Genomic DNA, 24,885 nt, shown 5'->3' with positions numbered 1-24,885 from the left:
TCCGCCCCCCACCCCCCCGCCCCGGCCAAAAAAGAAAGGTGTGCCTCAGGTACAAGATGATTACAAAGGTCAGGCATGGGGACTCACACCTTTAATCTCAGCACTTTGGGAGGCTGAGGCAGGTGAATCGCTTCAGCCCAGGAGTTTGAGACCAGTCTGAGCAACATAGTGACACTTCATCTCTACTAAAAATTAAAAAAAAAAATTAGCTGGGTGTGGTGGTGCATGCCTGTGGTCCTAGCTACTCAGGAGCCTGAGGTGGGAGGATCAGTTGAGCCCAGGAGGTGGAGGCTGCAATGAGGGATGATTATACCACTGCACTTCAGCGTGGATAAGAAAGTGAGACTCTGTCTCAAAAAAAAAAAAAAAAAAAAAAAAAAAGAGCTGCGTGCAGTGGCTTACGCCTGTAATCCCAGCACTTTGGGAGGTTGAGGTGGGCAGATCACCTGAGGTCAGCAGTTCGAGACCAGCCTGACCAACATGGCGAAACCCTGTCTCAACTGAAAATGCAAAAATTAGCCGGGCATGGTGGTGGGCGCCTGTCATCCCAACTACTCAGGAGGCTGAGGCAGGAGAATCGCTTGAATCCGGGAGGCAGAGGTTGCAGTGAGCCGAGATTGCACCACTGCACTCCAGCCTGGGTGACAGAGCAAGACTCCATCTAAAAAAAAAAAAAAAAAATTGATCATAGAGGTGCTGAAAAAACACATTATAATTTAAGTGTATTATATTATCTAAAAGAAGAAAAACAAGTAAGCTTTATTAATATTTAGTAAGTGGATTGACACTGGGCATCTGTTAGACATCTTGGGTTATGTAAGACAGGTGAGGTAACTGGGTAAGGGGTCAGGAGCTTCGTATTTGGAGGGGTTGTGTGTTTTCTTTCAGTGTCCTGCGCCATGTTTGCTTTTCAGTGTTCTACACAGTTTTTATTATTATCATTATTTTATTTATTTACTAATAGTTTTGCTGTGTTGCCCAGGCTGGTCTTGAACTCCTGGCCTCAATCGATCCTCCTGCCTTGGCCTCCCAGTGTTGGGATCACAGGTGAGAGACCACACCTAGTCTCTATACAGTTTACGTATGTCCAGATAAGTGGATTTACAGATTATGCTATCTAGATATAATTTTTCCTAACTCTCCAAAGTGGACAAGGGGCTTAACCATATTCTTGTGAATGAGCAAGATTACAGTTACAAATAATCCTAGTGCTTCACACACAAATGAGTATTACAGGTACAAACTCTTATGGTTCGGTGAGAATCCAGTGTTGAGAAGGAGTCAGCTGGCCAAGGGGTGAAAAAAATCACCACTAATCAAGAGAAGCTCATGCCATAAAGAGCATATTTTGAAGACACATGTTTGGAAATGTTTTGATCTTTAATGACTTTGTTTCTAATAAAGGTATGTGAACCATCTTTAAAAATAAAACAAAACGGGCCGGGTGCGGCGGCTCATGCCTATAATCCCAGCACTTTGGGGAGCCGAGGTGGGTGGATCACGAGCTCAGGAGATCGAGACCATCCTGGCTAACACGGTGAAACCCTGTCTCTACTAAAAATACAAAAAGTTAGCCGGGCATGGTGGCGGGCGCCTGTAGTCCCAGCTACCCGGGAGGCTGAGGCAGGAGAATGGTGTGCACCTGGGAGGTGGAGCTTGCAATGAGCCGAGATCGTGCCACTGCACTCCAGCCTGGGTGATAGAGTGAGACTCTGTCTAAATAAATAAATAAATAAATAAATAAATAAATAAATAAAACAAAACATCTGATTCTCACATTTAAAAATCTAGGCTGGGCGCGGTGACTCACACCTGTAATCCCAGCACTTCTGGAGGCCAAAGCTGGTGGATCATTTGAGGCCAGGAGTTCAAGACCAGCCTGGCCAACATGGCGAAACCCCATCTCTACTAAAAATACAATAATTAGCTGGGGGCGGTGGTGCTTGCCTGTAATCCCAACTACTCAGAAGGCTGAGGCACAAGAATCACTTGGCAGTAAGCTGAGATTGTGTCACTGTACTCCAGCCTGGGCTACAGAGTGGGTCTCTGTCTCCATAAAAAGAAAAAAAAATCTATAAAACAGAATTTGCTAAACCATTTAAAAATCTTCCAAGCAACTGTCTCAATGGGTTTTGGGCAGGAAAAGGTGGCTCATACCCGCAATCCCAGCACTTTGGGAGGCTGAGGCAGGTGGATCACTTGAGGCCAGCAGTTTGAGACCAGCCTGGGCAACAACACAGTGACACTCTGTCACTATAAAATACTTAAAAAAAAAATGGGCTGAGGTGGGAGGATTGCTTGAGCCCAGGAGGTTGATGCTGCACTGAGCTGAGATTGCCCCACTGCACTCCAGTCTGGGCAGCAGAGTGAGACCCTGTCTCAAAAAAAAAAAAAAAAAAAATTGGCTAGATCCGGTGGTGGGCGCCTGTATTCCTACCTACTTGGGAGGCTAAGATGGGAGGATCCCTTGAGCCCAGGACTTTGGGCTGCTGTGAGCTGTGATTGTGCCACTGCATTCCAGCTTGGGTGAAAGAGTGAGACCCTATCTCTGTATATATATTTTTTAAAAAGGTGGCTGGGTGCGGTGGGTCATGCCTGTAATCCTAGGACTTTGGGAGGCCAAGATGGGCGGATCATGAGGTCAGAAGATCGAGACCATCCTGGCCAACATGGTGAAACGCCATCTCTACTAAAAATACAAAAACTTAGCCGGGTGTGGTGGCACGCGCCTGTAGTCCCAGCTATTCGGGAGGCTGAGGCAGGAGAATCGCTTGAAGCTGGGAGGCAGAGGTTGCAGTGAGCCAAAATTGCACCACTGCACTCCAACCTGGGTGACAGAGCGAGACTCCATCTAAAAAAGAAGAAAAAACAATGCTGGGTGTGGTGGCTCATACCTGTAATCCCAGCATTTTGGGAGTCCAAAGTGGGAGGATCTCCTGAGGCCAGGAGTTCGAGACCAGCCTGGGAAACACAGGGAGATTCTGTCTCTCTTAAAAAAAAAAAAAAAAATCTAAAAAAACTAGCTGGCAGGCTGGGCACAGTGGCTCACGCCCGTAATCCCAGTACTCTGGGAGGCCGAAGTGGGCGGATCACCTGAGGTCAGGAGTTCAAGACCAGCCTGGCCAACATGGTGAAACCCCATCTCTACTAAAAATACAAAATCAGGCCGGGCGTGGTGGCTCACGCCTCTAATCCTAACACTTTGGGAGGCTGAGGTGGGCAGATCATGAGGTCAGGAGTTCCAGACCAGCCTGGCCAACATGGTGAAACCCTGTTTCTACTAAAAACACAAAAATTAGCCCAACGTGGTGGCATGCATCTTTAATCCCAGCTACTTGGGAGGCTGAGGCAGGAGAATTGCTTGAATCCAGGAGGTAGAGGTTGCAATGAGCCAAGATTGTGCCACTGCACTCCAGCCTGGGCAACAAGAGCAAGACTCCATCTCAAAAAAAAAAAAAAAATCAGCTGGGCGTGGTGGTAGGCACCTGTAATCTCAGCTACCTGAGAAGCTGAGGCAGGGAGAATCACTTGAACCTGGGAGGGTGCAGTGAGCCAAGATCACGCCACTGCACTCCAGCCTGGGTGACAGAGTGAGACTCTGTCTCAGGAAAAAAAAGAAAAGAAAACTAGCCGGGCATGGTGGCATGCACATATAGTCCTGGCTACTCAGAAGGCTGAGGTGGGAGGATGTCTTGAGCCCAGGAGTTCAATGCTGCAGTGATCTATGATCCTGCCACTGCACTCCAGCCTGGGTGACAGGGCAAGACCCTTTCTCAAAAGAAAAGAAAACAGGCCAGGCATGATGGCTCCCGCCTGTAATTCCAGCACTTTGGGAGGCCGAGGTGGGCGGATCACCTGAGGTCAGGAGTTTGAGACCAGCCTGACCAACATGGAGAAACCTCGTCTTTATTAAAAATACAAAATTAGCCAGGCGTGGTGGCACATGCCTGTAATCCCAGCTACTTGGGAGGCTGAGGCAGGAGAATCGCTTGAACCCAGGAGGTGGAGGTTACAGTGAGCTGAGATTGTGCCATTGCACTCCAGCCTGGGCAACAAGAGTGAAACTCCATCTCAAAAAAAAAAAAAGAAAAAAATACAATGCCTTCTGATTAGTTTGGAAAAAACAACTGATAAACATCAGGGAAGATTCCGTAGCAAAACATCTCATGTATCCCAGAAATATATATACCTACTTGGTACTCACAAAAATTAAAAAAAAAAAAATCAGGGAAGATAGAAATGAGTCCAATTTCAATAAAAGCCTTGGTAGATGGGATTTTAAAATGACTGGTTTTGTTAAGCACAATGATGCAGATTTTAGAGAAATGGAGCATAAAAAATATTCATGAAAGTAGATAGAGTACTATAATAAACCCCTAAGAGTCCATCATAGGGGTCAAGACTGCAGTCAAGACAGTCATGAAAACCAAGAATTGAAATGAATAGAACTTAAATAGCTGTAATACACATTGTTAAACCAAAAGTTTTAAAGTAATGAATACAGCTGGGTGTGGTGGCTCACGCCTGTCATCCCAGCACTTTGGGAAGCTGAGGCAGTCGGATCACCTGAGATCAGGAGTTCAAGAGCAGCCTGACAAACATGGAGAAACCCCGTCTCTACTAAAAATACAAAATTAGCCTGGCGTAGTGGTGCATGCCTGTAATCCCAGCTACTCAGGAGGCTGAGGCAGGAGAATCGCTTGAACCCGGGAGGCAGAGTTTGCAGTGAGCCAAGGTCACGCTATTGCACTCCAGGATGGGCAACAAGAGCAAAACTCCGTCTCAAAAAAAAGGTAATGAATACTTAACACTACTAAACGGTAAACTTAAAAAGGGTTAAGATGGGGCCGGGTGCAGTCCCTTATGCCTGTAATCCCAGCAGTTTGGGGGTCCGAGGTGGATAAATTGGTATATAGTTGGATGTTAAGATGGGTCCGGGTTGGCTGGGCGCGGTGGCTCACGCCTGTAATCCCAGCACTTTGGGAGGCCGAGGCGGGCGGATCATGAGGTCAGGAGATCGAGACCATCCTGGCTAACACGATGAAACCCCGTCTCTACTAAAAATACAAAAAAAAAAATTAGCCGGGCGCGGTGGCGGGCGCCTGTAGTCCCAGTTACTCCGGAGGCTGAGGCAGGAGAATGGCGTGAACCTGGGAGGCGGAGCTTGCAGTGAGCCGAGATCACGCCACTGCACTCCAGCCTGGGCGACAGAGTAAGACTCCGTCTCAAAAAAAAAAAAAAAAAAAAAAGATGGGTCCGGGTGCAATCTCTTATGCCTGTAATCCCAGCACTTTGGGGGGCTGAGGTGGACGGATTGCTTGAGGCCAGGAGATCGAGATCAGCCTGGTCAACATGGTGAAATCCTGTCTCTACCAAAAAAAAAAAAAAAAAAAAAGATTAAAATGCCAAATTACATATTTTACCACAATTAAAAATAAAAATAAATAAAGAAGTGGGGGTGGTAATGAAACATCTTCAACTACATTATTTTTACTAAGGACTTTTGGTATACTACAAATAATAAATATTTATATTATGTACTTCTTTCTTTTTTTTTTTTTTTCAGACGGAGTCTTGCTCTGTCGCCTAGGCCTGGAGTGCAGTGGTTCAATCTTGGCTCACTGCAACCTCCGCTCCCCGGGTTCAAGCGATTCTTTTGCCTCAGACTCCCGAGTAGCTGGGATTACAGATGCCCACCACCATTGCTCGGCTAATTTTTGTATTTTTAGTACAGACCCGGTTTCACCATGTTGGCCAGGCTGGTCTTGAACCCCTGACCTCAAGTGATCCACCCACCTCGGCCTCTCAAAGTGTTGGGATTACAGGTGTGAGCCATCACGCCCGGCCTACTTCATTTTTTAACGATTTTCTCCTTTTTGTAGTTCTCTTTTTGTATGTTTTATGATGGACATACTAATTTGATATAGCAGTTCACACAAATAATTCATAAATAACTACATATTAGTGCATTAGGTGTACATGCTGAGAATATTTTTACTGCTAAGAGTATGTGGCAAAAATGTCTGATGCTCACTGATCTAGAGGAACTTTCCCATGGTGGGCAAGGGGACCACCTAAGAATGTGAACTGGTGCACTGACTGGAAAACTAGGAACTAACCTCACCATCCATCGGCAGAGGAATGGATCAGCTGGAGCATATTAAAGCAACGGAATACTATGCAGTGATTTAAATGGATGGATAAGAGCTACATATATCAACATGGGTAAAGATATATATAAAATATATATAGATACATATATATTATATATATTTTTTTCTTTTTTTTTTTGAGATGGGGTTTCGCTTTTGTTGCCCAGGCTGGAGTGCAATGGCGCGATCTCGGCTAACCGCAACCTCCGCCTCCCGGGTTCAAGCGATTCTCCTGTCTCAGCCTCCCAAGTAGCTGGGATTACAGGCATGTGCCACCAAACCTGGCTAATTTTGCATTTTTAGTAGAGATGGGGTTTCTCCATGTTGGTCAGGCTTGTCCCGAACCCCTGACCTCAGGTGATCCGCCCGCCTTGGCCTCCCAAAGTGCTGGGATTACAGGCATGAGCCACCGTGCCCGGCCATATACACGTATATATTTTTTGAGACAGGGTCTTGCTCTGTCACCTAGGCTGGAGTGCAGTGGCGCAGTCTTGGCTCACTGCAACCTCCGCCTCCCAGGTTCAAGCTATTCTCCTGCCTCAGCCTCCTAAGTAGCTGGGATTACAGGCGTGCGTGACCACGCCCAGTTAATTTTTGTAGCTTTAGTAGAGATGGGGTTTCACCATGTTGGTGAGGCTTGTCTCAAACTCTTGACCTCAGCTGATCCACCCGCCTAGGCCTCCCAAAGTGCTGGGATTACAGGCATGAGCGACTGCGCCCGGCCCAACATGGGTAAATATTTTAAACAACCTTGAGTGAAAAAGCACATTGCAGAATGAAAAGTACAGCATGCACACCAATGTGATATATTATGGATACATCCATATGTTGTAATATGTATTATATATGTAGCAATGTGTACTATGTTTAAAAACATTCAAGAAGAAAATAAACACCAAATTCAGGAATAGTGGTTACATCTGGGGAGAGAGGGGAGAAAATGAGGTTGGAGAAAGGGCTTCAAATTTGCTTTCTTTTACAAAAAGATACAAAGTAAATAAATATAACAGTTCAAAACCAGTCTCCTTCAGTTCTCCTCCTCAGTGGACAACCATTCTCACATATCCCTGGTGTATCTTTCCAGAGATAGCCTATGCACATACAAGGACACATATGTACATGTATTCCCCTACCCTAACTTCTTTTTAAATAGTGATGGTGGCAAGCATTACATATTGTTGATCTGTACTTTTTAAACAATGTATCTCGAACTTTGATACATGTCAGTGCATAAAGAGCTTCTTTGTTCTTTTTTTTTTTTTTTTTTCGAGACGGAGTCTTGCTCTGTAGCCCAGGCTGGAGAGCAATGGCATGATCTCCTCTCACTGCAACCTCTGCCTCCTGGATTCAAGCGATTCTCCTGCCTCAGCCTCCCGAGTAGCTGGGATTACAGGTGCTTACCACCATGCCCAGCTAATTTTTGTATTTTTAGTTGGCCAGGCTGGTCTCGAACTCTTGACCTCAGGTGATCCACCTGCTTTGGCCTCCCAAAGTGCTGGGACTACAGGCACCAGCCACCGCGCCCGGCCTCTTTGTTCATTTTTTTTTTTTTTTTTACAGCTGTGCAATACTTCTTTGTGTGGCTACCAGAGTTTTTGAACCAGTCTCATATACATAAAATGTAGACTATTCTTTTACTACAAAAAGCTTCACTACAATGAATATCCTTAGAAAAATGTGATTCTACACAAATGCACAGTTTTATTTTTTAAAGACAGAGTTTTGTTCTGTTGTTCAGGCTAGAATGCAGTGGCATCATCATAGCTCATGTAAATTTGAGCTCCTGGGCTCAAGTGATCCTCTTGCCTCAACCTCCTGAGTAGGTAGGACAAAAGACATGCACCACCACTTTTTTTTTTTGTAGAGCTGGGGTCTCATTATGTTGACCAGGTTAGTCTCGAACTCCTGGCCTCAAGCAATCCTCCCTTGTCAGCCTCCCAAAGTACTGGGATTACAGGTGTAAGCCAGTGTGCCTGGCCATTATACAAAATATTAAATCAAAATTTTTTTCTTTTTTTGAGACAGAGTCTCACTCTGTTGCCCAGGCTGGAATGCAGTGGCATTATCTCAACTCACTGCAACCTCCGTGTCCCGAATTCGAGTGAATCTCCTGCCTCAGCTTCTCAAGTGGCCAAGTAGCTGGGACTATAGGCATGCATTACCACACCTGGCTAATTTTTATATTTTTAGTAGAGACAGGGTTTTGCCATGTTGGCTAGACTGGTCTTGAACTCCTGACCTCAGTGATCCACCCACCTTGGCCTCCCTAAGTGCGGGGATTACAGGCGTGAGCCACCGCGCCCAGCCAACCACGCCCAGTTTAAACCACGCCCAGTTTAAACAGGCACCACGCCCAGTTTAAACCAAAAATTTTAAAAATAATTAATACTTAACACTATTAAATCGTATACTTAAAAATAGTTAAGATGGCAAATTGTGTATTTTACCACAAGTAAAGATAAAAATAAATGAATAACTTATGAACAAATTCCCAGAAGCAGAAATGCTGGGTCTTTTCAAACAAACAGTCCTCCAACAAGACCAGATCCATTTACTTTCTGCTCTAACATTTTCCAATGTCTTTTACCCAAGCACAGTTCAATACAGCATATTATCAGACTTTTTTGATCTGAAAAGCGGACGTGGTATTTCACTGCAATCTTAATTTGCGTATTTTATTTTTTGTAAGCTTTCAATTTGTCGCTTATCCATTTATATAATTTTTTCTTTTTTTTTGTTGAGACAGAGTTTTGCCCTTGTTGCCCAGGTTGGAGTACAATGGCGTAATCTCAGCTCACTGTAACCTCCGCCTCCTGGTTTCAAGCAATTCTCCTGCCTCAGCCTCCCAAGTAACTGGGATTACATGCGCCTACCACCATAGCTGGCTAATTTTTTTGTTTTTTTTGTTTTTTTTTGAGATGGAGTCTCACTCTGTTGCCCAGGCTGGAGAGCAGTGGTCAGATCTCGGCTCACTGCAAGCTCTGCCTCCCGGATTCGCGCCATTCTCCTGCTTCAGCCTCCCTAGTAGCTGGGACTATAGGCGCCCGCAACCACACCCAGTTAATTTTTTTTTGTATTTTTAGTAGAGACGGGGTTTCACCTATTATCCAGGATGGTCTCGATCTCCTGACCTCGTGATCTGCCCGCCTCGGCCTCCCAAAGTGCTGGGATTACAGGTGTGAGCCACCGCGCAGGGCCATTTTTTTGTATTTTTTTAGTAGAGATGGGGTTTCACCAGTTGGCCAGGCTGGTCTCGAACTCCCGACCTCAGTTGATCTACCCGCGTTGGCCTTCCAAAGTGCTGGGATTACAGGCGTGAGCCACCGTGCTTGGCCTTATATAATATTTTTTAAAGCATGAGCTATGTTACTTTTGTAGTAAAATAGCCATTGAGGATATTCTTAAAATTTAGGGTCTGGAGAACCTTGATTCAGTTTTTGAGAAGCTTGTTGATGCTTTCAAAAAACCTTATTGCATTATGGCCAGGAGCAGTGTCTCATGCCTGTAATCCCAGCGCTTTGGGATGCCGAAGCAGGTGCATCACCTGAGATCAGCAGTTTGAGACCAGCTTGGCCAACATGGCAAAACCCTATCTCTACTAAAAATAGGAAAAAAATTAGCCGGGTGTGGTGCTGGGTGCCTGTAATCCCAGCTACATGGAAGGGTGAGGCAGGAGAATTGCTTGAACCCAGGAGACGGAGGTTGTAGTGAGCTGAGATCATACCACTGCACTCCAGTCTGGACGACAACCGTGAGACTCCACCTCAAAACAAAAACCAAAAAAACCTTATTGCATAATACCTATATCAATTTCCTGATTTACTATTATACTGTCTTTATGTTTGATGTTACTATTGGGGGAAACTGGGTGAAGGTGTGCAGGACTCTATGTACTATTTTTGAAACTTCTTGTGAGGCTGTATTTCTAAAAAACAAAATTTTGTGATGTTTTTCTGGTTTGGGGGCTCTGCACTGACCAGCTATCATCCTTGAGCCATGATGGCACCCAGGTCTGTGAACTGACAAGCCCTACCTGCAAGACAGCTACTAGATTAGAAAGAATAACTGAGGACTTGAAAAAGAGGCAAGCCTTTGGAGGCTGACTCTGGCCTCTGACTCTGTTAGTGTCACATTCTATCTAACTCAGCGAGCACACAGAAGCCACGCAACTAAAATTCACACTCTGCCATATTTCTTACATTTGTATCTGTGCCATTCATTTAGTGTCCATTCATTTACATAATCCCAATGCCACTAAGGGTAGACCTCTGCAATAAGAGGACCTCTGCAAGGTATACAAACTCCTTTCCTTCTTTTTTTGTTGTTATCCCCTGAATATCTTCTATTTGAATCCTGTAGCTCAAGCCATACATGACTCTCTGGAGGCCCCCTAGCAAGCCTTTGAATTCACAGTTCCCCTGCATCTGGATCTACCCCCTTTTTCCCTCCAGTCCCTTTATGTAAAGAACTCCTACCATTCTTCAAGAAAGTTCAAGCATCATCTCCACTGGGAAGCCTTCCTGGATTTCCTATGAACCTCTCCCCACCTGCTTCCAACTCCACTCCAACAGGTAAAGTTAACTCAATCTTCTAGGCATCCTACTGCAATCTCCGCTAGATAAAGCTCCATTAAAACATTTATATCACTATATTGTCATCATTTGTTTAAACATGTCTGTTCCTAATGGATTAAAAACCCCTGAGGACATATATTTTGTGACATTCATTTTTGTGTTTTCAGTGCCAGCAACAATGCCATACTGAAGGTACTCAGTACATATTTGAGGAAGGAGTTAGCCAGGACCTTGCCAGCTTCCTCTGCACTTCAGCTAAAGCCAACCAAATTCTTGGGTAATTCATTCCAGCCCAGAGCCAGGTGTTTTGACGTCAGCTGAAGCTCTCATAACTCTGCCAAAGAAGAGTTCTTGCCACTGGTTAGGCGCCCTCTAGTTGTGTGACTCTCTCCATATCTGTCTCCTTATCTTTAGTGATTTTGTTTGTTCGTTTGTTTGTTTGTTTTTGAGATGGAGTCTCACTGTCGCTCAGGCTGGAGTGCAGCGGCGCGATCTTGGCTCACTGCAACCTCCGCCTTCCGGGTTCCAGCGATTCTGAGTAGCTGGGATTACAGGCCCGCGCCACCACACCTGGCTTTTGTTGTTGTTGTTGTTTGTTTTGAGACGGAATTTCGCTCTTGTTGCCCAGGCTGGAGTGCAATGGCACGATCTCTGCTCACCGCAACCTCCGCCTCCTGGGTTCAAGCGATTCTCCTGCCTCAGCCTCCCACGTAGCTGGGATTACAGGCATGTCCCACCACGCCCGGCTAATTTTGTATTTTTAGTAGAGACGGGGGTTCTCCATTTTGGTCAGGCTAGTCTCGAACTCCAGACCTCAGGTGAGCTGCCCACTTTGGCCTTCCAAAGTGCTGGGATTACGGGAGTGAGCCACCGTGCCCGGCCTTATTTTTGTATTTTTACTAGAGACGGGGTTTCACCATGTCGGCCAGGCTGGTCTCGAACTCCTGACCTCAGGTGATCCACCCGCCTCGGCTTCCCAAACTGTTGGGATTACAGGCGTGAGACATGGCGCCCGGCCTGTCTCCTTATCTTTAAAATGTGGACAATAAAAGCATCTCCCCACAGGGCTGTAGGGAGGATTACAAGAGATAATGCATGAAAAGCTTTTGGCACAGTGCCTAGCAGAGGGTGGGGTACGCTTCTCAAAGAATAGTCCCGTGCACGCGTTGAATCAATGAGTGGAAGAAATAACTTGAGGTTGCCTGTTTATTTACTGAGTGCCTACCATGGAATCAGGGAAGGTTTTCTGCAACCTTTACTTTGACAGGGAAGGGCTTGTACAGGTGAAGGTGGTAGCCGTCGGTAGCGACGACGAGGGTATTCCAGGCTGTCAGGAGGTTCTTGCCAGACAGCTGTGTGGGAGTGGGCGGCCAGCATCCCCCGAAAGCGCGGGGAAGGCAGCTCGGTCGGGTGGAGGAAGCGATGGCATCCACGCTGAGCTCCAGTCCTGGGTAGTTATTAGCCGCGTGACTTTGGCCAAATTACTGCACCTCTCTCAACTTCCCGAACTGTAGAATGAGTCTGTTAAGAATACTCACATGCCAAGCATCTTGTGAGATCACGCGACCGCACGTATGCGAAGACGCGCTTCATCTAGAAAGCACAAAACTCTCAAGCCGGCCGACACGGCTGCGCTCTTTGCACTTACGGGCCTGGGCTTCCTCTTCAGGCATGCGCGGTGGACCTGCGGCGCGGCCCGTCAGGCACTGCGGTAGGCGCCCTAGGGGCTTGCAGGACCCTGACCCCAAGATGGCGGCGCCCAGCGAAGTGGCCGCGATAGCCCCTGGCGAAGGCGATGGCGGAGGCGGCGGCTTTGGCTCCTGGCTGGACGGACGGTTGGAGGCACTGGGAGTGGACCGAGCCGTTTATGGAGCCTACATCTTGGGTATCCTGCAGGAGGAGGAGGAAGAAGAGAAGCTGGACGCTCTGCAGGGGATCCTCTCTGCTTTCCTGGTGAGTAGCCTGGACACATTCCTTCAGCCTCTGGCCAGCATCTGAGGACCTGTCAGTACTTTGCACCCTCCCTCCCCTACCGGGTATCCCAGAGGCTCAGTGGTCTCACCTGGGAGAGGTATACTCCTCTGATATCTGGGCGGCGGGGGAAGGAGGTTGCTCCCCAACCAGGTGTGGGAAGCCTGAAAGCTGCAGGTACACAGAGAGGAAGGGCTTTCTCGTATTCTTGGGGACAAGGCCCTCTCCGATGCTTGTGAGTGAGCCGAGGAGGGTTCTTCCGAAGGCATTGAAATGTCAGAATGGGAATGTTATCATAAATATCTGACGACCAATTCCATTTCCATCCGTTTACAGTGTTCACTGGGGGTATTAAAATGCTCTTGGGAGGTCTGTGCCTATTACAAGGCAGTTCCCAGGGCTGTCCCATGACAGAAGCCTGCAGGAAGTGCCCTTTTGATTCTTATATGGATGTAGGAGTCCATAAAAGGTAAGCTGGTGGTAGAAGTCTTTTCATGCCCACGCAGAACTGAAGCAAACGTCGTGCTTGATCCATTACAGTATTTACAGTAATCATTGGTGGTGGGAAGGAGGGTATGAGAGAGATCAGAGCTTTAACGAAGAGAGAGAAACTTAGTCCTTAGCCTGTTAGAAGCAAGGTATTCAGAAATGTGTACTTTAAGCTATGTTTACATAGTAAGTCACCCAGATGTCCACTTTTTCAACCTGATCATTTCTGCTGCCTTCATCTTCACTTCCCACACCTCCAACATACACACTTATTAGACTGGTTATTACAGATTAAATTGGTTGTAGGTGCTACCTGTGGCTGTCTAACAAATTGTTTCCTTTTAAATACAAGCTTAAAAATAAAATTTACTTGAATCATCACTAAATGCTGTAGAAGCTAGAGTTGTCTCTGCATTCATGGATTAGAGGAGATCCTGGATACCTGATTGCTACTGTGAGAGCCACCTGTCTGTCCATCAAAGGCTTTATCCTCTGGCATTTATTACAATGGACAGGTTAGAAAAATGGGTTCTTTGTTATTCTCAAAACCAATTTTGAAAGGCTAGTAATAGAATCAAAATGTACCATGAGGTGGGGCACAGTGGCTCATGTTTGTAATCTCACCACTTTGGGAGGCTGAGGTGGGAGGATTGCTTGAGGCCAAGAGTTCCACACCACACTGGGCAACATAGCAAGACCCTGTCTCTACAAAAAAATTTAAAAAATTAGCCAGGTATGGTGGCGCATACCTGTAGTCCCAGCTACTCAGAAGTCTGAAGTGGGAGGATCACTTGAGCCTAGGAGGCTGTGGCTGCAGTGAGCCGTGATTGTGCCACTGCACTCCAGCTTGGGTGACAGAGTGACCCTGTCTCAAAGAAAAAAAAATTAGTATAAATATATATAGATATAAATGTACATATTCATATCTCATTTTTTTAAAAGGGTAGAAGGCAGAAACATTTTCAAATCCAAAAGTGTTTTGTGAAAGCGGAAACAAGTGCTAGGAAAAAATCACTCACATTTGGTGGAAGCAGTTCATAGATTGGGTACATGGTTGAAATATAACACTAGTGCAGCTGTCCCAGATTCTTCTGGCAGTAACCCATTTGAGTTCCAGAGCCTCTTCTGGCAAGATTGGCTTATAAATGGGAAAACTTTAACACAGCCTGTGAGGAAGCTTGGAAGTTCACTGGAAATACAAGACAGTGGAATCAATTCTTTTTTTGGACCACAACATTACAGATTATAGGGAGAAAGAGTAGGAGGCAAGCAATTTAAGGTAGTTTTTATTTACAGCTGGGAAGTTTCTAAACACTCCATGAAGCTGTTGAAATAACTTTGAGACTTCTTGGTACCAGCTTCTTGATCAGTCCATCATTATTTGGAGCTGTTTCTGTTGATAAAGGTAGACATTAGTTTGCCTTTTTTTTTTTTTAAGAGAGTCTCGCTCTGTTATAGTAATGTGATCATAACTCACTGTAGCCTTGAACGACTGGACTCAAGCAATCCCCTCTCATCAGCCTCCCAAGTAGCTAGGACTACAGGCACCTGCCATCACATATCATGCCTGGCTAACTTTTTTTTTTATGTTTTATGTTTTATTTTTTGAGACAAAGTCTCACTCTGTCACCCAGGCTGGAGTGCAGTAGCAAAATCTCGGCTCACTGTAACCTCTGCCTCCTGGGTTCAGGTGATTCTCAGCCTCCCGAGTAGCTGGGATTACAGGCATATGCCACCATGCCTGGCTAATTTTTATATTTTTAGTAGAGATGGGGTTTCACCATGTTGACCAGGCTGGTCTCAAACTCCTGACCTCAAGTGATCCACCCATCTCAGTCTCTCAAAGTGCTGGGGCTATAGGCGTGAGCCACCACACCCAGCCATGCCTGGCTAATTAAAAAAAAAAAATTTTTTTTTGTAGAGACAGGGTTTTGCCATGTTGCTCAGGGTGGTCTTATGCTCCTGGGCTCAAGACATCCTCCTGCCTTGGCCTCCCAAAGTGCTGAGATTACAGATGTGAGCCTCTGTGCCTGACTTGGGCTAGGATTTAATATGAGGAATTTAGAAGTTTGTTAGCAATAATCTGAGGTAAAATTCAAGAACAGTGGCATATAGTTAGGAGCAAATAACAGTAAACAAAAACTTTTATCATCCTTCTCTTCAATAGTACTTGCATTGGTTGATTGATTTATCAAATTTTTATTGATGGATTACCGTATGCCAGGCACTACCCTAAGTGCTTGGGGCACTTCAAAGAATAAAACAGATAGAAATTCCTGCCCTCATGCGGTTACATTCTAGCATGGAAAAGCATCACTAGTAAATTATATAGTATGTTACAAAGTGATAAGTGCCAGGGAAAAAGGAGCATTGTAAGTAGGATAAACTTTCCTCTTAGTGCCTTGAACATAGCAGGCACCTTCTGTATAAATAAATGAAGGAATGGATGATTGAACTACATTGATTTGGATGAGGAGACTGAGGAAATAAACCACTTTGTCCTCTTAAGAGTTCCCGTTCTCTTTTGCCTCTCTGCTGCTCCTTTTCCTGCCATTCTTTTTCTTTTGGTGGGGGATTTTAAAAGAGCTGTACCACTTTCTCATCCTTTTTTCTTTTTCTGTTTCTTTGCTTTTCTTGCTGGTGGGGGTTGGGGGAAACCCATGAACTATTGAAACTCTGGACCAAGGAAGTTCTGTGTGTCTAGCATGTAGCTAAAAGGATGCAAGGTAGAGGAAGAAATCCTTTGCTGGGTACAAAATAAGGATATACATAATAAGTCTGTGTTCTGACTCTCCACTTTTCTTTGGGAGATGGTTAAGAACATGGGCTCGGCTGGGCGCGGTGGCTAACGCCTGTAATCCCAGCACTTTGGGAGGCCAAGGCAGGCGGATCACGAGGTCAGGAGATCGAAACCATCCTGGCTAACATGGTGAAACCCCGTCTCTACTAAAAATACAAAAAATTAGCTGGGCGTGGTGGCGGGCGCCTGTAGTCCCAGCTGCTTGGGAGGCTGAGGCAGGATAATGGCGTGAACCCAGGAGGCAGAGCTTGCATTGAGCCGAGATCGCGCCACTGCACTCCAGCCTGGGCAACAGAGCGAGACTCCGTCTCAAAAAAAAAAGAACATGGGCTCTAAGCCAAACTGCTGGGGTTCAAATTGTGTTTAATCCATTATTACTTGTAAGACCTTGGGCAAAGTAATTAACCTCTGTGCTTTGGTTTCCTCTTCTATAAATTGAGAGTAAAATAGTACTTAATGGCATTATTTTAATAATTGAGAGTTCTCATGTAAGGCTTTTAGAGCAGTGCCTGGCACATGGTAAATGCTTAATAAATGTGAATGCTGACAGCTTGCCCTGAGAGGTAGAACGTGAAGGTGGGGAATGCAGCCGTAATGAAGATGGAGGGAAGTGCTCGTGTTTATTAGATGCTTGTTCTTTGACAAGTAGGGTAGGCATTTATATACATTTTCATTTATCCTCAGTAAAATCCTGGGAGGATGTGAAGATCAGAAAGTTAAGAAACTTCCTCACAGATCTGGGATTTGAACTTAAGTATCTCTAACACTAAAGACAAGATTTTTGTTATATCATGCTGAGGAGGGAGATTGGTTGGTATGCAGAATATGTATGCTTCTCTAAAATGGACAGCGGGATGGTTGGACAAGAGACCATTTTGTCATGTATCTCCTCTTTATTATGTGTCAGCAAGCTAATGGATATGATCTAGCATGAAAGTTGATAACCTTAGGGAAGGTTCTGAATTGTATACGTCAGCCAAGGAATATTTCACAGAGGAGTTTTGACTTAGGGAACAGGTTTTTGCTCCAAAAGAATTGGGGGAGGTGGATGGGAAAAGGGAAGATTGTTGATCAAAGGGTATAAAATTGCAGTTAGACAGAAGGAATATACTTTAGTGATCTGTTGCATAGAATGGTGACTATAATAAGTAATAATCGGCTGGATGTGGTGGCCCAGGCCTGTAATCCCAACACTTTAGGGGGCCAAGATGGGAGGATTGCTTGAGGTCAGGAGCTGGAGACCAGCCTGGGTAAGATAGTGAGACCCCATCTTTTAAAAAAAACAACAAACTCAATTAGCCAGGTGTGGTAGTACATGCTTGCAGTCCTAGCTACTTGAGAGGCTGAGGCAGGAGGATTGCTTGAGCCCAGGAGTTTGAGGTTACAGTGAGCTGTGATTGCACCACTACACTCCAGCCTGGGTAACAGAGTGAGACCCTGTCTCTAAAAAGTAATAATAATAAATAAATAATAATGCATTGTATACTTCAAAATTACTAAAAGAGTACATTTTAAATGTTTTCTTTCTTTCTTTCTTTTTTTTTTTTGAGACAATTTCTCTCCCCTCTCCCAGGCTGGAGTGCAGTGGCGTGATCTCGGCTCACCACAACCTCTGCCTCCTGGGTTCAAGTTATTCTTGTGCCTCAGCCTCCCGAGTACTGTGATTACAGGCATGTGCCACCACACCCGGCTAATTTTTGTATTTTTAGTAGAGATGGGGTTTCAGCACGTTGGCCAGGCTGGTCTTGAACTCCCAGCTTCAAGTGATCCGCCCTCCTCAGCCTCCCAAAGTGCTGGGATTACAGGCGTAAGCCACTGCACCCAGCCTTAAATGTTTTCATCACCAAAAAAATGAGAAATATGTGAGGTGATAGATTTGTTAATTAGCTTGATTTAATTATTCTACAATGTGAACATATATTGAGACATCACAGGGTACCCTACATATATATAATATATACAGTTATTATTTGTCAATTAAAAATAAAATAAATATTTTAAGAGAGAATGAGGAAGGCTGCCCTGAGTTGGTATGAATCTTCCCTTGGAGCTTATCAGGATGGAGTGGCTGTTCTTGATGTAGGAGGTGTGGGTTCTGGGACACACAAGCAGGATCAATTCTGTGTCCAGAGCCTCAGAAAAGAAACATACTCTATTGTGGCTCCCAGACCCTTCCATAATTTCACAGCATGGAGAGCTGTGCTTTCTTCATAGGCTTTTTTGAGGTTACTATTGTTTTTGAGGGCTCCCTCAGGAAATTAATTGGTCTGCTTTTCCAACTAGGAAGAAGATTCCCTCCTTAATATCTGCAAGGAGATTGTGGAACGATGGTCAGAAACTCAGAATGTTGTCACCAAAGTGAAAAAAGAAGGTAGAGTCAGAGTTTCTGTGTTTAACTTCCTGAGCCTTTTCCAGCAGCCTTGACTGTATAGCTGTTAGGAAGAGATCTTTTCATTTTCCCCTTGGATGCTCATTTTCCCGAAGATAGTGTACACTGGCAAACACCCAACAGCCTGTGTTACCTTTACTGAACATTGGCTTCCTTTTCTTTTTTTGCATTTTTCCATTTCGACTGACCACAGTTTTCTTCATTGTGGTTTTTTACTTTTTCTTTTTCATCATCTTTCCACTGCTTCTTGTAGATTTGCATTGCAGGTATGGAGTCAACTATATTTTTACCACTTCCTACTTTTTTCATGTTGTCTTTTTTTTTTGAGACAGAGTCTTGCTGTGTCACCCAGGCTGGAGTGCAGTGGCGTAATCTCAGCTCACTGTAACTGCTGCCTCCCAGATTCAAGTGATTCTTGTGCCTCAGCCTCGTGAATAGCTGGGACTACAGGCTCATGTCACCATGCCTGGCTAATTTTTGTGTTTTTAGTAGAGATGGGGATTTCACCATGTTGACCAGGCTGGTCTCGAACTCCTGACCTCATGTGATCTGCCCACCTCAGCCTCCCAAAGTGCTGGGATTACAGGCATGAGCTACAGCACCCTGCCTCATGTTGTCATTTCATAACACAAATTATGGTTGGTATTTGGCTTTATTCAGCTAAACACTTTACCCTTTAAAATGGAAGAGAAATGGGCGAATATACCCACCACTAGGATGGTAAATTAGGTACAGAAAACTCAAATCATAAAAGCCAAATTTGGAAAGATTCTGAACTCTGTACACTGTTGGTTCTCAGTTTTGGCTGTATATTAGAATCACTTAATGTACCTGGGTTGGGGCCCAGGCATTTGTATTTTTTAAAAGCTCCTGTAGGTGATTCTAATGTGCAACCAAGTGTGAGAACTACTATTTTACACCATTGTTTCCTTTTCTTGAGACTGGAGAACTTACTAGTTGATTTTATTTTATAGCATGGCAAAATATTTTTTTTTTTGAGACGGAGTTTTGCTCTGTCGCCCAGGCTGGAGTGCAGTGGCGTGATCTCGGCTCACTGCAAGCTCCGCCTCCCCGGGTTCACGCCATTCTCCTGCCTCAGCCTCCCGAGTAGCTGGGACTACAGGCGCCCGTCACCACGCCTGGCTAATTTTTGTATTTTTAGTAGAGACGGGGTTTCACTGTGTTAGCCGGGATGGTCTCGATCTCCTGACCTCATGATCCACCTGCCTTGGCCTCCCAAAGTGTTGGGATTACAGGCGTGAGCCACCGCGCCCGGCCAAAATATTCTTAATCTAAGAATTCCACCTGGCATAATCAGAAACATAAACAGGACCAGCTTAAGTTGATTTTAGATTCCTGCTTAGGTTTTTGGGATGCCATGGGGAAGTTGAGTGTTCAGAGGCTTAGTTTTCTGTGGTTCTAATGCAGTGCTTTTCAACCTTTTTTTTTTTTTTTTTTTTTTAAGGCAGCAGAACTTCAGTATATAAAACAAGTAAAATCAGGGCTGCTCTGATTGAAGATGGATACAAAGCTTGGCCTGCATGGCCTTTCCTTTCCTTTCTCAATGGCCCCCGAGCCATGTCCTTTGAACTGCCAGGCTCTAAGGAGGCAGCAGATGCCAATGTCTTCAGTACAAGTGCTGCCTATGTGGACTAGTGGTTCAGTGAGCTTGTTCTCTCTCATACAACCTTGTTCTTCCTTCCACCACCTCCCAGATGAAGTACAGGCCATTGCCACCCTAATTGAGAAGCAGGCACAAATCGTAGTAAAGCCAAGGATGGTGTCAGAAGAGGAGAAGCAGAGAAAAGCTGCCCTCCTGGCCCAGTATGCTGATGTGACAGATGAAGAGGAATATCCTTTCTGGAGTCTCGGCACCATTCCCTAAAGCTCAAGCCAGACATATTTGTGGGTTTACAGTGACCTTTGGCAAGTTGCTAATCCCCCTCTATAGCTTAATTTTCCCCTCTAAAATGGCAGTAATCTATGGCCCTTTGTGGATATGCGGAGTGATATTGGATTAGTTGATACTGGACTTATATTTTTCAACACATAATCATTATATTCCTGAAAACTTTGGTGTAAAACAAATAATGTCTTAATAGTCCATTTATATTATGCTTTCAGAAAATACAATATAGCTGTAATTCTTTATATTTGTATAATACTTTTCTATACAGTGTAGTATAAAGTATAATCCATCTTTATGTTCTTTCCCAGTCAATAAGGAAACTGAGACACCAACAGATGAATGGGTGATCAGAGGCATTCAGAAGATTAGTGGCAAAACCAGGACTAGAACCTGGGTATTTTTGGGTGAAAGATTCTCTAAATTTAGAGCAGCTTGCATCTTTTCTTTCTTATGTGACCAGGTAGTTAAAAGTAAGGCTGAACCTCCAAAGCAATACCAGAATAATTCTGGACAGAGTCTCGCTTCGTCGCTTAGGCTGGAGTGCAGTGGTACAATCTCGGCTCACTGCAACCTCTGCCTCCCGGGTTCAAGCCATTCTCCTGCCTCAGCCTCCCGAGTAGCTGGGACTATAGGCACGTGCCACCACGCCCAGCTAATTTTTCGTATTTTTAGTAGAGACAGTGTTTCACCATGTTAGCCAGGCTGGTCTCGATCTCCTGACCTCATGATCTGCCTGCCTCACCCTCCCAAAGTGCTGGGATTACAAGCGTGAGCCACCGCGCCTGGCCTCTCTTCTAATTTTTTTTTTACGAGTTTTCTTGCCAGGGTTGGCAGAGCTATGGTTCCGGTGACATAATTTCTCATCTTGGGCTAGAAAAGGACTTTTAAAGCAGTGGTTCTCCTGGAGGACTTGTTAAAACACAGATTGCTGGGCTTCACCCACAATTTAGTAGGTTTGGCATAGGTCCCAAGAATGTGTATTTCTAATATATTCCTGGGGGTTTTGTGAACCACACTTTGAGAACCACTGTTTAAAGGTCATCTGGCTTCCAGGTAATGTGGCAATCCACCCAGACCAACTTAAGTTTCTTTTCAGCCTCCAAGAAAAGGATCTTATAGAAGATATATCAATCTTTCCTAAGTTGAGGTTTCCAAAGATGAATCTCCTGGGTTTATCGCCATATCCCTGATAATGTGCTCCCTCCATTCAGTGTGCTTTTCCTACTTACCAGTCTATTGAATGTTTTCTAATGTTAGGTTGGGATGTTGTTTTCCATCTGACTTTCCTTAACATCACTTACTGAAGCAGATGAGAAGGATGATTCAGGTGCTACCACAATGAACATTGGTTCTGACAAACGTATCCTTCTGGGTCCCTCCCTATGTGTTTCTCCATAGAGTCCTCTTGAGATCAGTTTTTATTTTGCTGTCATTGCTGGCGGCTCCCCTTTACCTTCAGGAACTCATGTCATGCTAACATTGGGAGCCCTATTCCTAGGACAGCCCTAGATAGTCAGTTTAGCAAGAACTTTCCCCAGAGAAAACAAGTTAACAAGTACTGTAAAGGGATTAGTTTGGAGGAAGGATTTCTAAGGGAAAAATAAAAATCTATACTCTGAGTTGCCCAGCATTAGGGAGAAAATTAAAATAATATTGAGGTCAGGCGTGATGGCTTACACCTGTAGTCCTGGCACTTTGGGAAGCCGAGACAGGTGGATCGTTTGAGCCCAGGAGTTTGAGACCAGCCTGGGCAACATGGCAAAACCCTGTCTCTACTAAAAAAAATACAAAACACTAGCCAGGTGTAGTGGCATGTGCCTATAGTCATAGTCCCAGATACTCAGGAGGCTGAGGTGGGAGAATCACCTGAGCCCAGGAAGTCAAGGCTGCAGTGAGCCGAGATCTTGCCACTGCACTCTGGCCTGGGATATGAGAGTGAGACTGTGTCTCAAAAAATAATAAAATAATGTTGAAATTTTCTCTTTTTCCTCAAAAACCTTATAATTTGTCAGAGAATACAAACACCAAACACTTTTTTTTTTCTTTTTTTTGGGACAGAGTCTCGCTCTGTTGCCCAGGCTGGAGTGCAGTGGTGCGATCTCGGCTCACTGCAGCCTCCGCCTCCTGGGTTAAAGTGATTCTCCTGCCTTAGCCTCCCGAGTAGCTGGGACTACAGGTGTGTGTGCCACCATGCCCGGCTAATTTTTTGTATTTTTAGTAGAGACGGGGTTTCACCTGTTAGCCAGGATGGTCTCGATCTCCTGACCTCATGATCTACCTGCCTCAGTCTCCCAAGTGCTGGGATTACAGGCATGAGCCACTGCGCCCAGCCTAAACTCATTTTCTATCTCTTATAGATTCAGTGTGTATGGTTATTAGAATGTGGTTTTCACTTCAGCTTTAGTAGTCTAGGAACAAAAGCAAATTGATAAAGTTTAATAAGGTTAAACATCTTATTTAACTCTTTTAAGGCATTTTAACAGAGCCAAGTACATAAACATTTAGTCAGTTACATTACTACTCTGTTCACCAAAACTAGCCTAGATTCTCTAATATTCTGCCATTGAATGATATAAGTACTTATTCTAGAATGAAATTTCATTTTGATGAAATATTTTGTTTTCTTATTTTTTTGTTTCTTTGGTAAAATATTTTAAAATTCAGATTTAGGTAAATCTGAATAAGAGTTTTATTCCAAAGGACATTTTAAAACTTTTGTAATATAGCTTTAGGATTTCTCTGTTAGACCAAGGATAAACATAAGGGTTTTTTTTAAAAAACCAGGAATAGATAAAGACGATTCAGGACTCAGCAGGTGGAGAGAGGATAAGTAGAATGAGGAAAGGCAGCAGTAGGTGTGATCTGTGTGACCTGTACCCTAATCCCTTAACTCACCTGTAGTTCTGTTCCGAAACACCAATGTGGAAGATGTCCTTAATGCCCGAAAACTGGAGCGAGACTCACTTCGGGATGAATCCCAAAGGAAGAAGGAACAGGACAAGCTGCAGAGGGAGAGAGACAAACTAGCCAAGCAGGAGCGCAAGGAAAAGGAAAAAAAAAGGACACAGAGAGGGGAGCGAAAGCGATAACCTTGGCCTACTCTATTCTTTCCCCCCATGAACTTATCAAAGGGAGAACTGGTTGTGTATTTAAGAGAAATGAGAGTGCATTGCAAAGTAGTTTCCCAAGGCATTTCCCCTATTGTTTACATGGTCAAAAGGAAAATCAAAATCACTTCTAATTACAAAATGTGCTGTTTTGGTGGGGTGGGCAATCAGATTATTATAGTTGATGACTGTACCAAAGATCTGGAATGGGGGCCACCTTTATATTTTAATACTCAAGTCCTGTGCTCCTTTTGGCCACTTTAAAAAGTCTTCCCTCACCTTGGATAAATAGGATTCAGAAAGCTAACAGTTTTCATTCTGAAGGAGCAGAAACATAATCAATCCCTCCCTGAGATAAAATGTGGGCATGCACATTGCTTTGGAGTCAGTATTCAGCTGTAAGTGTAGTATTGTTTTATGGCTGAAATAGAAAGCTAATGAAGAGGCCTACCTGGATCCAGATTTTATGTTAACATGGCAGCAAAACTAGGAAAATGGGAAGAAATTACTTGCGGGGTGTTCTAGATCTGATTTTTTTTTTTTTTTTGAAAGTTTCAGCCTGTGGGAGGAAAAGAGGTATCTTTTAAAATAGAGATAGTTACATATTTTCCTCATCTAGGCTGTGTCACTATTGGGTGCAAGGATATCATTGTTGGCTAGATTCATTTTGTATAATCATGTATCCTCTTGTGTGCTGGTAGAGATTTTAATCCTGATTTTTCCATAAAACATGAGTATTAAGAAATAATTCCTGGTTTGGAGAAACTGGAGAAATCACCCTTTTAAGGAAGAAACACTGGAAATTTCTGCTAACACCAAGATATTTAAGAGTGTACATAGTAGGTGCTCAACAAATTTATTGAATGAATGAGTGAATGGAAAAACTGGGAGAGTCAAAAGTGAGCAGAAGCTCTCCATTTCTACTTCTGTCACAAACCACATTAAATTGTAAATAAGGCCCTTCTCCACTTGACTTCAGGCAGCAGATTGTCTAGAAGCCTAAGGACAGCAATTTCTCTGACAAGACAAAGTAGATATTTTATACCAGGGGTTGGCAAACTACTGCCCACGGGCCGAATTTGGCCCAGTCTGTTTTTGTATGGTGCAAACTAAAAATGATTTTTACATTTTTAAAGAGTTATAAAAGAAAAAAATATGTGGTCTGTGAAATCTAAAATATTTACTACCTGGCCTGTTGGAGGAAAGGTTTGCCAATCTCTGTTTTATACCATTAACTATGAGATTAACAAAAACTTTTACCTTTGTGCAGAAGGTTAAAAAAAAAAAAACATGGTTAAGGAAAAGGAGACATGTTACCTCTTCATACACTCCTATAACTGTGGCATTGCAAAAAATAAAAATAACCACCTTTAAAAAAATAAATCTTATTTAAATTGCTGTCTTCTGACTTATTTTGATTGCTTCTACGTACCCATGGAAATGAAATATGTGTGAGTAGTTACTTAGGAATGTGTTGATTTTTATTTTATGCTT

The 24,885-nt window shown here is 44.1% G+C and overlaps 1 protein-coding gene and 2 long non-coding RNA genes across 5 annotated transcripts, besides 2 other annotated features; 1 reads left to right on the top strand and 2 right to left on the bottom strand.

Annotated features, from left to right (window-relative positions):
* Positions 1-11,918: 11,918 nt before the first annotated feature.
* Positions 11,919-12,448, bottom strand: LOC124904010 (uncharacterized). Its single transcript, XR_007065770.1, has 2 exons — positions 12,375-12,448; positions 11,919-12,234 (listed from the first exon to the last, which is right to left on the bottom strand). It is a non-coding gene; the product is annotated as an uncharacterized LOC124904010 (long non-coding RNA).
* Positions 12,131-12,720: an enhancer, noted in NCBI's record as "H3K27ac hESC enhancer chr17:42766877-42767466 (GRCh37/hg19 assembly coordinates)". NCBI's record gives its function as "activates a minimal SCP1, AML or CMV promoter by ChIP-STARR-seq in naive H9 embryonic stem cells {active_cell/tissue: H9 hESC(naive)}" and the evidence as "EXISTENCE:reporter gene assay evidence [ECO:0000049][PMID:30033119]".
* Positions 12,323-12,462: an enhancer, noted in NCBI's record as "active region_12265". NCBI's record gives its function as "activates an Ori minimal core promoter by ATAC-STARR-seq in GM12878 lymphoblastoid cells {active_cell/tissue: GM12878}" and the evidence as "EXISTENCE:reporter gene assay evidence [ECO:0000049][PMID:35858748]".
* CCDC43 (coiled-coil domain containing 43) lies at positions 12,453-24,789 on the top strand. 2 transcript variants are annotated; one of them, NM_144609.3, is made up of 5 exons: positions 12,453-12,679; positions 18,270-18,357; positions 20,091-20,226; positions 21,586-21,644; positions 23,186-24,789. In NM_144609.3, the coding sequence occupies exons 1-5, from the start codon at positions 12,476-12,478 to the stop codon at positions 23,371-23,373; spliced, it is 675 nt and encodes a 224-aa protein (NP_653210.2). In that variant the 5' UTR covers positions 12,453-12,475; the 3' UTR covers positions 23,374-24,789. The 2 variants fall into 2 exon arrangements, with proteins under 2 accessions (NP_653210.2, NP_001092695.1); NM_001099225.2 differs by lacking the exon at positions 21,586-21,644.
* Positions 13,216-23,267, bottom strand: LOC105371792 (uncharacterized). Of its 2 annotated transcripts, none has more exons than XR_007065769.1 (4): positions 23,180-23,265; positions 14,206-14,375; positions 13,936-14,051; positions 13,216-13,288 (listed from the first exon to the last, which is right to left on the bottom strand). It is a non-coding gene; the product is annotated as an uncharacterized LOC105371792 (long non-coding RNA). The 2 variants fall into 2 exon arrangements; XR_934780.1 differs by lacking the exon at positions 13,216-13,288 and adding an exon at positions 14,481-14,579 and having other exon boundaries at positions 14,011-14,051; positions 23,180-23,267.
* Positions 24,790-24,885: the final 96 nt, after the last annotated feature.

This window comes from Homo sapiens, chromosome 17 (genome assembly GCF_000001405.40).
Source record: "Homo sapiens chromosome 17, GRCh38.p14 Primary Assembly".
In the NCBI taxonomy this organism is placed as follows: Eukaryota; Metazoa; Chordata; class Mammalia; order Primates; family Hominidae; genus Homo; species Homo sapiens.
Note: the sequence above shows the minus strand (reverse complement) of the source record. Positions and strands in the feature narration are given on the sequence as shown.